This window comes from Homo sapiens, chromosome 1, assembly GCF_000001405.40.
Source record: "Homo sapiens chromosome 1, GRCh38.p14 Primary Assembly".
Taxonomy (NCBI): domain Eukaryota; kingdom Metazoa; phylum Chordata; class Mammalia; order Primates; family Hominidae; genus Homo; species Homo sapiens.
The window spans coordinates 83,476,498-83,488,613 of NC_000001.11; the positions used below are offsets into that span (position 1 = coordinate 83,476,498).

At 38.8% G+C, this 12,116-nt stretch overlaps 1 annotated feature.

The window, feature by feature from the left end:
• Nucleotides 11,567-11,806: an enhancer, noted in NCBI's record as "active region_1242". NCBI's record gives its function as "activates an Ori minimal core promoter by ATAC-STARR-seq in GM12878 lymphoblastoid cells {active_cell/tissue: GM12878}" and the evidence as "EXISTENCE:reporter gene assay evidence [ECO:0000049][PMID:35858748]".

Sequence of the window (12,116 nt, forward strand, 5' to 3'; positions counted from 1 at the left end):
GCCATCTTATTTAAAATTGCGGCACTCCTCACTACACACACAAACTTCTCACCCCTCTTCCTCTGCTGTGCAATTTCACCGCATTGCCATCTTCTAAGATGTTACATGATTTGATATGTGATGCATATTGCTCATCATCTGCTTTTCTCCACTAGAATGGAAACTTCACAAGCCCAGTAGTTTTTGCTTCCTTTGGTGACCAATGTATCTTGGTGCCTGTACATGTGGGTGCTCAGTAGTTACAGGTTGAAAATATTAGTATGTGCATTACGGTAATTCATGTAAAAACAAAACCACAAGCTACTTTGGAAACAAGTATATGCAAATGTATAGAAAAAGATCTGGCAGTACACTCACCAAATTATTAACAGTGTTTGATTTGAAGGTGTGACTGAAAAATCAAGGCAGCTATTACCTTTTATCAGATATCTTTCCATTACCTGCTAAATTTCATACTTAAAGAGTATTGTCTTTGTCATTGCAATGTTAAAATTTTTATTTGGAATAATAAACCATTCAGAAAACAGTTAAATATTTTGATAACAAAGAGTAATAGATGAGGACTATCCTTGACATACATGAAAATACACTGTAAGATTCCAATCATTCAATTAGAATGGTATTGATAAGAGAACAGACCTACAAATCATGGAACTAGACAGATATCTGATATAGATTACTTAGCATATGTAAGAAAGTACCACATAACAAAAGAGACCTTTCAAATCAGTGACAAATAGAAGGATATAGGAATAACTATTAGCTTTTGGAAAGACAGGGTAAAACAATGTAAATTTTCACTTTATGTATAAAAATATGAGTAGATTTGTGAACATGAAACATAGCACTCAGCACAGAAAACATCATAAATAAAATTTAAAGTCCAATATTGTCTTAGAAAAAATTTTGAACAAACATAAAGACATTAGGTTGAGATCCTTATTAAATTAAGGTCACTAATGAAAAACACTAAAACTCTAGTAAATAGACCAAGCTGTTAAGTATGTAGAACTGATTCAACTATAAACCACCAGTTTGTTTCTCTGATTTAATGGGACAAAAGGCACTTGCAGATGGTTACTTTATACAGAGTGACTCTATGAACAAAGTCTGTGGAATCCACAAACAGCACACTTGCAGAATTTTGAAAAAGCTTTGAGATTGTGGGAGTACTGCCCTTTACATAAACTGAGACTTCCCACATTTATTTTTATTGTAGTTTAAACACAATTCAAGGATGCTAGTTCAATGACAAATCTGCACGAAGTAAACTGGGACAAGAGATTATTCAATTGCCCAGAACAGGAAGAATTTATCTCTCTATCATCCCTGTCAATAATAATTAGCCCTTTCTGAAAAGGGTGTTGTAGATACACAGTCAAAATGATCCTTAAAGGGAGGATATAATTTGGCTTACAGAAATCCATTACCAACAAATAACTGCTTGTGGAGGAAATATACAACAAAGCACCACACTTGGAAGTGATAATCACAGTAAATAGCATCCCTAGCCTAGATTGGGTCTTATATAAGAAACTATCATATTGCCAATTAACAAGTATTTTCTCAGTGTGATGACACTTTGAAATGACTAAATACAAAATTGGGAGGAGAAAAGAAATTGCTTAGTCTCCTCCCTACCCCTCATCCCCCGCCTCCACAGCCCCCCAAACTACACAAGAGAAAACTCAATAATTCTGTAAGAATGATTTTCCTGGCTCAGTTTTATAAGAGACTTGGAAATAATACAACATCAGTTTATAAACCAGACAGGGCTTGGCCTGCTATGTCAACATAGAAAATCAATCCAGGAGTCCCAACCCTGCTTTGTGGCCTTTAGGGCTGCTTCAGAAATCAATTCCCGAGAAGGATAAAAGGTCACTGCCGTGGGGCTCAGGAACACATGCCTCAAATTGCCAGCTGCAGAGCTCAATTCCCCCAGGGACTTGGCAATTTTGGCTCTAAATGTGGATTCACAAGGGAGAGCCATCCTGACCAAGCACATATGCTCTTTTGAGGTAGTGGCCATTTTCATGCCGACATTTTTGAGGACCTATCATGGGTCAGGACTGAGCTGAGGCTTTCCATGCATTGCCTCACTGAATCTCCACAATAACTCCTGTATGAGTCCGTTTTCACACTTCTGTAAAGAACTGCCCAAAACCGGGTAATTTATAAAGGAAAGAGGTTTAATTGACTCACAGTTTTGCACAGCTGGAGAGGCTTCAGGAAACTTACAATCATGGCGGAAGGCGAAGAGGAAGCAAAGACTTTCTTCCCATGGTGGAAGAAAAGAGACAGCGTGAATGTCAGTGCAGGAAAAACTACCATTTATAAAACTATCAGATCTCATGAGAATTTGCTCACTATCACAAGAACAGCATGGGGAAACCATATCTATAACCCAATCACTTCCCACCAGGTGTCTCTCTAAATATCTGGGGATTACAATTCAAGAGGAGATGTGGGTGTTGACACAAACCCTAACCATATCAGCTCTTGAGTAGATGCTATCATTATCATCATCCCCCTTCACAGAAGGGCACAGAGGGACTTAGAGCATGTGGCTGGCCAAGGTACTAATCTACCCAGTGAAGTCAGACCTTTTAACCTTTTTCTGGTATGTTTGTATTCATTCACTGGGGCTGACTTAACAAAGTACCACAGATTGGGTGGCTTATTCAACAGAAATTTATTTTCTCACATTTTTAGAGGCTAGAAGTCCAAGATCAAGGTGGCGTCTTCTGAGACTTCTCTATCTGGCTTGTTTTTTTCCTTTGTCTTCATATGATCTTCCCTCTGTACCTGTCTGCTTCCTAATCTCTTCTTACAAGGACACCAGTCCTATTGGATTAGGGCCCACTTTAATGACCTCATTTAACATTCATTGCTTCCATAAAGGTCCTACATCCAAATGCAGTCACGTTCTATAGTACTGAGGGTTATCATTTTAACATATGAGTTGGGGGGAGCACAACTCAGTCCATCACATTCTCTATTATTGTAATTGTTCAGATCCATTTATCTCTTATAAACCAATGATCAAAACCTGTACATCCAACTCTCTGCCCATCCCATAAGAAATACCTGGTTGTGGCTGGAGAAAGAGCTACAATATACTGGCTGGTCTCACCTGGCATGTTCTTGACATTCAGGATAGGCGGAGTGACCCAGCAATCATATGGACACCATCCATTCCAGTGACACTCAAACTTCAGCGTGCATCAGAATCCCTGCAAGGCTTGCTAAGACACAGACTGCTGCGCCTACCTCAGAGTTCCTGATTCATCAAGCTTGAAGTAAGGCCTGAGATTTTTGCATTACTAACAAGTCTTCAGGTGATACCAATGCTGCTGATCTGGAGACTGCCTTTGAGAGCCACTATTCTATCTCTTTCCCAATCAACTGTCCTTTCTCACCTCCCTTTTAAATCTCCAGCACCTGCTCCCTCATGTTTACTCTCAATGCACAATCTTTTTTTCTCCTTCACTGACAGAAGTGAAACAATTAAAAGAGAATTTCCCCAGTCTCTCACTACTGCACCTGCTCACCCTCCCACAAGCACGTGTACTCACTGTGCTTTTCTTGCTGTTTTGAAAGGTGAATTGTCTGTGGTCTTTCTAGAGCCAATCTCTTCACATGTGCACCAGATTCCAAGACCTGCGGCCCACTCAAGGGCATCCTGCATGTCTTCTCCCATCTCTTACCTTGTCAACTCTTTCCACTTTTTGAGTCATCCTCCTCAGCACAAAAGATTGTTACTCACTTATCTTAAAAAGTAAAAGACTAAACCAACAAAAACAAGAAAAAACAGAAATAAAACCTTTTACTGGACCCTCTCTCCCTACCAGGTATGACTCCATTTCTCTTTGCCTTTGCAGAAAAACATTTAGAAAGGGGGTCTGTATTAATTCTATCCAGTTCCTCTCCTCTCATTCTCTCACAGACCCACTGAAATCAGGTCTTAACTCTCAACAAAATTGCTCTTACTGAGGTCTCAGATAAACTTCAGGTTGCTAAATCTCATGGCCCACATTTGGTCCTCTCACATTTTACCCCCCTTGACAGAGATGGCACCACTCCTTGATACTTCTATTTTTTTGGCTTGTAAGGCTTCCTAATTCACTGGTTGCTAGTCTCAGAACTTTGCGAATGACTTATCTTTTCTTATACCTCTTAGTCCTGGACTGACTTGCCCCAGATTGTAGCTTCTTTTTTTATCCACTCTCCTTCCTTTGGGGATCTCATCCAGTCTCCCTCTGTATGCCCTTTGTTGCCAAATTTACATCTCCAGCCCTGAATGCTCCTTTGCCTCAGACTCCAAAACTATATTCAAAGTCTCTCATTTAGATCATTCAAACTTTTCAAGAGTGACTCCTGATCTTCTCCCAAATATCTGAGCTGCTCAAAGCTTTCCATCTCAGTAGATGAAAAATTCACCCCTCTAGTGCTTAGGTCAAAAATCTTTGAGTCACCCTTGTTTCCTCTCTTTATTACTCCCACTGTACATCCGATTCACCAGGAAGTCTTCCTGTGTTTACCCTAAACATAATTCAGAGACCAATTACTCCTCACCACCTCCATGGCTATCACTTTCATCAGACTTGCTAGATTTTAGCAATCGTCTTATAACTGTTTTCCCATTCCCACCCTTGCCTCCTTCCATTCTATTGCCCACAAAGAAGTATAAGTGATCCTTTTGAAACATAAGTCAGATCATGGCATTTCTTTCCCAAAAAGAAATGCAAGTGTCTAAATTCTTCGCCTACCTCAGAGTAAAAGTCCAAGTTCTTATATGGCCTTTAAAGACCTCTGTGTACTCTCCTCCTCCCTCCGTTAGCTCTCTGATCTTCCCTTCTTCTTTTCTTCCTCATCCTACTCTGCTCCAGCCACGCAGTCTTTCTGGCTATTTCTTGAACATAGTAAACATGATCCCTCCTCTGAGCTTTGAGTTGTTTCCTTTGCCTGGGAAATTCCATCTGGAGACTTCCGGGCTTGCTCACCTATATAGGCAAGTCTGTACATGAGACCTGCTCTGACCACTCAATTTAAAATGGCAGCAAAATCCTTCCTGGCACCCCACCTTTAAAATGGCAACAAAAGCCTTCCTGGCACCTTTCCTTTCTAGCTTTGGACCTATTACATAATCTATGTATCTTTTGTGTTATCATCTGCCTTCCCCGCTAGTATGTAAACTCCACAAAGGTTGAGATTTTTGTTTGGTTCACTGATGTATCCCAAGAACATAATTCAGTATCTAACTTGCAGTGGAAACTCACCAAGTATTTATCAAATTATTTGATAAATGAATGTGATGATAAATGAATGTGACTGTAAAATGATACTTTATAGTCACTGGAGAAATCAGTCTCTGACATCCCCAGGAACAAAATCAACATTCTTTGGAATAGTCATTGATAAAGGGTTCATAACTTTTTGTGCCATGGACTTCTTTGGCAGTCTGTCGAAGCCTATGAACCCCTTCACAGATTAGTATTTTTAAATGTACAAAATAAAATCGATAAACTACAAATGTAGTAAATTATTTTATCAGAACATTTTTAAAATTATAAAACAAATTTGTAGCTAATAGTAATACACATACTTTGTTATCCATTAATTGACAACATCTGGTAGTGGTTCTAATAACGACCATAATTTTGAAGTACTGATGTCTATGAATGATATTTCAAGATGTCTGTAATAACTCTAATGTGATACGAATGTATCTGTAATTTCCATTGTGAACAAAGTCACTGGTACTGCTAATAGCACCATGGTTTCTTGCCTATATTCATAAATGAAGGAAATGTTAAATTTTAGCTAGTTAAAAAAAAAAAATGAAAATGAGGTTGTATTTTCTACAGATACTTAAATGAATGCTTTGGAAACACTTGTAAGGAGTAGAAATAAAAGCAGAAAGACTTTCCCCTTTCTTACTCCCCCAAAAGGTGCTACTGAATTGTTGCAGATAAGGAAATTGTAAGATAATTGAAAAAAATGATAAAAATCTGGAAGAATTCTGTACCAAGACTGTTTTTGCTTTTGCAAGTGTCTAAATTCTTGTTCTACTTTAATAGAATCAAATCTGGAAATTATCAGAGTGATGATGTACGTGGTTCATATAAAGCAGACAATGTGGAACTCCAAGTATCTGAACAATCAGATCAAAATACCCAGACTACATATCAAGAAAGCAGGCTGAGTGTGATGGTTCATGCCTGTTATCCCAGCACTTTGGGAGGCTGAGGCAGGAGGATTGCTTAGGAACTCAAGACCGGCCCAGGCAACACAGCAAGACCCGTCTCTACAATAAGAAATAAAAGAAAAAAGAAAGAAAAGAAAAGAACAGAAAAAGAAAGAGCTGGGCATGGTGTCACTTGCCTGTAATCCTAGCTACTAGGGAGGCTGAGGCAGGAGGATCCCTTTACCCCAGGAGTTTGAGGTTGTTGTGAGCTATGATTGTGCCAGTACACTTCAATCCAGGCAACAGAGCGAGACCCTATCTCTTAAAAAAAGAAAATAGAAAGCAGTGCCTCCATGTGCTTCAATGTGCATTTATGTATTTAAGATAAAATAAAATTTTTATGATGTATATTTATAATTTCCTATAATTTTTCACTCACAGTTTTGTGGTTTTCTCTTTCTTTTCTTTTCTTTCCCTTTCTTTTCCTTCCCTTTATTTTTCTTCTTCCTTTTTTTTAATTCACCAACTACCCACCTTCCCTAATTCGTAGGTTAGAAGGATTTCTCTACAGTTCTTTCTCTTTTTTCCAATCTCTTCTGGATGTTTCTTCGTCTCAAACTACACAGACATTGTGGAAATCAGTATCTTCATTTCAAGTCTAGGTGGGTCAAATTTGATTCTCTTGTATTTTCACTCTTAAAATAGCATCTTGAACTTTCATCTGTGATCCATCTATAAGGATCAAATGTAAGGACTTCAAGAGGGCATCTGCCCAATAATTTCTGTATACCCAGTACAGCAAACAGGGTGGTATTGTTGATGTGTACTCAGTGCATACAATAGTATAGTAGTGTTGTATATGCTTTGCAGAGAGTAGCGTTATTGTTGTATCAGCACATAGGACAGGACAGTTTTATTGCAACATAACCAAAACATAGGTTAAATGTTAACGTTGTTGTATACCCAGTGCATAGAACAACATAAAATTGTTGTTATATGTTCAATGCAAACCACAGAGTAGAATGCTCAATTTTTGTTGAATGACATAAATGAATTAAATGGACACAGCATCACCTACATGCCTCACCTACAAAGGCCTAACTTGTAATGGGATTACTATTGTTGTTTTAATAAATTAAGCAATGAATGTAGTTTCAAAAAGTACTTAGCTTTATTTTTCAACACAGTAAATATGAATATAACCCATATCAGTAAAAGTTGTTTGGGGTCTTCAATGACATCTTAAGACTATAAAGAGGTCCTGACACCAAAAGGGGGAGAAGCACCGCAATCTTGCATGCTCCTGGTTCCTGAGAGGTCCATATTGCAGTCTGCCATACTGTTGTATTTCCAGTACTTACATGGTGTTTTGGCAAAACCTGAGCATGTGTTGTCAAGTGGCTGATGAGGATGTGATTCTGAGAAAGGCACCACGAGATAAAAGATATGAATCTCAGCTGGGCGCGGTGGCCCACACCTATAATCCCAACACTTCAGGAGGCTGAGGCGGGCAGATCATGAGGTCAGGAGATCGAGACCATCCTGGCTAACACAGTGAAACCCCATCTCTACTAAAAATACAAAAAAAAAAAATAGCTGGGCATGGTGACAGGCACCTGTACTCCCAGCTACTGGGGAGGCTGAGGCAGGAGAATTGCTTGAACCCAGGAGGCAGAGGTTGCAGTGAGCCAAGATCATGCCACTGCACTCCAGACTGGGTGACAGAGTGAGACTCCAACTCAAAAAAAAAAAAAGACACGAATCTCTTTAACGTGAGTAAGGTTTAGATTTTTATCCTCGTAGAAGAAACAGCAACGCAGAGAATAGACAAATCTACCAAGGTCTCAATTCCTACAAGTTCCCCCAGCTGCTGAGTGTGAAGCCCCACGAGGTTCTTTGAAAAGTGTTCCTTTGCCAGTCTAAACTGTTCTGGGACTTCATTATAGCAACGCCTGCTCACCACAGGCAAGGAACCAGCAATCTGATGAAGGATTTATGGAAAATGTGGGTAAATCAGAGTTTTTGTTCCCATGTGAATGATTCCCCCAGCAGGCTTGAGCTTTAGAAGCTCTATAAATACTTACTAAGTAATTAATTGATTGACTAAAGAAATAAATGAAAAAAATAACAATAATTATAAATCGAGGAAATGTAAAATATGTATTATTGTGACAATGGATGAAAATATCCCAAAAGAGATCATTTGGTTGTGAGTTAGGTTTTAAAGTATACGCAATATTAGAAATGAATAATTGAAGATAGTTTCAATAATTTTGAAAACTACTGCCCAATGGTAAAAGATATAAAAGATTATGTAATTTACAAGGCAGATGTCCTATATCTCTTGAATTATTTTAGACTGGGACACAAAAAGCCCAGGCAGTCAAGATGATATTAAATGATTCAAAAATAGCATTATTTCAATTAAACAAATAAATGCCCACAAGACCTATACAACAAGCTGAAAAAGTTAGGTGCTTATCACATCAGGATTCTATACTACCTTCCTTTAGGAAAAAAATATTATTGAAATACTAAATTGTATTGAAACATTGTTTTTAAAAGAATTAGGCAATGCATGGAACATACTTTTGAGTCTTTTTCCCTGAGTTTCAAAACACAATTCAGTTATTGTTTCCTTTCCAAGAAGTCAAACAAATATTGTTATTTACAAACTAGGCAAATAGCATCAAGAGAAGAAAATATATTTCTTTTTACTTTTTCTGCCACTGAAGATCTACTAACACTAGCAGAGAAGACCATTAATACATACTAAGACCACATTCAATGCCCCATGATTTTTATTATTCTACATCAACTTAAACAGGGGAATTCTAATTCTTTTGACTATGCACTTCCTCTTTTTACATTTTCTTTTTTTTTTAATTAATGTTAAAACTTTCAGGGCTACAATATTGCAATCTATTCTTTCAAAGCACTATTTGCCTATTAAAAGAAATTCCACCAAGTTCAGACATTACCTTAGCAATACAGTAGGATATTTCTCTACTAATAAAAAAATCAACTCCTGCAGTTTTAACCAACACCTATGTGTAAATAGTCTTCTTATTTATATCACATTTACAACATTTCCGCTACTCAGTTAAGGTGCATAAGAGCAGAAACTGTGACTTCTCAGCACTAGGACCTAGCAGATAGTCATTGCCCGGTTCAAAATAAGTTCAACAACTGTTAAATGACAAGTTTAGATGGTGCCATCTGAATCCTCCATAAGCACTGCAAATTCAGCATTTCATTCTCCCATTCTTACTTATCTGTGTTGATTGCTTCACCACCTACCCATTTGTTAAGGTCAAAAATGTTGGCTTCATCAATGGCTGTACACTCTCCTCCCTTTGAAATTCTTACCCTATTATTTGCCTAGTCCTACAGATTCTCTGCAAATTCTCTATTACTACACAAATTTAGCTTTCATTATTACTCATCAAAATATTACTTTTGTCTCTTTCATTGTCACCAATAGAATGCCTTCTCTACCTTCTCCAACCTATTTCATTATAAAGCTAGTTGTGCTTGCTTTCTAAAAAGTGGATATGCTTTTGCTTTCCTCCCAGTTTCCCCTCTGTTTAGATTTTTAATGGCTCCCGATTTTCTGTATTATCTAAATGCTCAGCATGTCCTACTGGACTTCACTACTACCTTTAAATAACAGCTCCCGACCAGCTCTTGCCTAGACTCTCCTTGTGCCTTATATGACCAACAAATGTCTCTGTCTTAAGTTGGTTTCCCCAGAAGCAGATTCTGAGACAAAGATTTGAGTACCGGTGCTATATTATTTGGGAAATGATCCCGGGAAACAACAAATGTCTGGAGAGAGATAAAGAGAAGGAAAGAGAACCAATAATTTGTGCCTTGTCAAGCAGGTGTTAGAGGTAGGGCAACTGAGTTCAATCTCATTGGGGAGTCCTAAAAGATAATGAGGAACACTCTTCCTTATTATCCAACCCCAACCCCTCCTGCCTCCAAGGGCAAGGAAGGTAGAGTGTGTATTCTCCAATCCATTTGTCACTGGCCAAGAACTGCTACTGCATACATTCATCACTTACCATTTCCAGCCTGCCCAATAAACAGGAAGTCTCAGGTAGAGAGTTACAGGTGATTCTAGCAGAATGCCAGAATGACATGGGTAGGCATTGATGCAGGACTGATTTTATGCACATACCACACAGCCTCACGTATACACTATTGTTGTGCATAAACTGTTACTTGTGTAGGAACTCTCATTGTTGCTGTTCCAGTGAAATTCTACTCAATCTTTAATCCCAATGTCAAAAGTCACTCTGATTCCATTTCTGAGGAAGAATTAATGATTCCTCCTGTACTTCCATAATACTTCCTTGGAGATTAAGATTTCAACTTGTACTCATGGTTCCACCTTTGTATCACTATGCAATGCAGTAATCTCCATTTAACAAATCAGGAAACAGTCAGAAAGATCATGCCAGAAATTACATGATTCCTAAAAGTTGGAGTGTGGAACTCCAACCTAGCCCTCTAAAAAATCTACTTTGCCCAATAAATCAGATATCCTCAACCTGAACTGACTATGTATCTGCTATATTAAATAATTAAAGACCAACTGGCCTAAATAAATGCCCTGCTATTCAGAGAACCAGCACTGCAATGTGGGACAAATCTACCTGCCTTATAAGCAAGAAGTCCAGTTTCTCCTTCTTCAGGCTCTTCACTCCTCTGGACTGTTCATAATCATGAGTGTTTCATAAACCAAAACAAGAACCTTACAAACTTCCACACTCAAGCCTGCAAAGACCCAGTATCTCAAGTAAGCACTTCCATTGGGTCTTGTTGCAGCATGGTGGACAATGGAATGTGGCCCCACAGTCTATTAGTCAATATTGGTCTCCTGCTATGGTCATCTCACTGCTCTAGATGCTTTCCAGCTGTTCTTCAAGGAAGCACACTGAAGCAGTAAGTGCTTAGTCCTTTCAGTCTCCTACACAGTCAACTCAGGGTGTTCTTAGTTCCAGGCAGCAGGACAGAATGGTTCAAGCACCTGTCACTTCGTATGAGTAGTGCTCTTTTTCCTTCCCTTCTTTTGCTTCTTATCCCCATCTCTTGAGCCATCATGTCAATATCACACTGGTTGTTCTTTTTAACTCTATTTACAGGTATGAATCTCAGCCCACAAATTCAGGTGAGCAAGAAATCTACAGTCTTTACATTATAAAACTTTATTTTTTGTTGTAAGAGCCGCCTTTCTCGCATGAGTAGTGGGAAACTTAAACTCAGTCCCATTCATGATTTTCTGTCCCTTAGTGGGTTCTCAGAGAGTGCCTTGGGATTAAGGAGTGGGATCTCTCTTATCCTTAAGCATCTGTCCACACACAGACAGCTACTGAGACACCCTCTGTCTTTCTCCACACGGCCCCTCTGGCATGCTGGCTCACTCCTGCCAGGCACACTTGGGACATAAAACCTTTCTCTGAGTTTGTCCATGGAAACCACCTTCTCAAATACCCCATACAGTCATTTCCTCTCAGGGGTTTTCCACCACTCAACCTTACTTCTGTTGACTGAGGCCTTGGTCTCTACCACACAGGGACTTTTACAAACTATCTTGCTTTCTCCTTGCAAGTGGGGACACATCTCTCTAGTCTTACAGGCTTTAGTCCAGCTCTCCCTACTGCTTCTGGCCAAGATACTCTGTCCAGCCTGCCAATTCTCTCTTCTCTGTGGGGCTTTTAAAGGACAGATAAACTAACTAATAAAAAGCCAGAAATATTGGAATGCCATTTGTTCTTTCTGCTTTTTAACATCCCTTCCCTGAGTTGAATGAGAGGAAGAGAATCAGAGATTCAGGGAGAAAACAATTCTAGATTAATATTACAAATGATTTCTCCAGATATACCTAGAAACACAAAGAAATAATTATAGCCATTTCATCCCA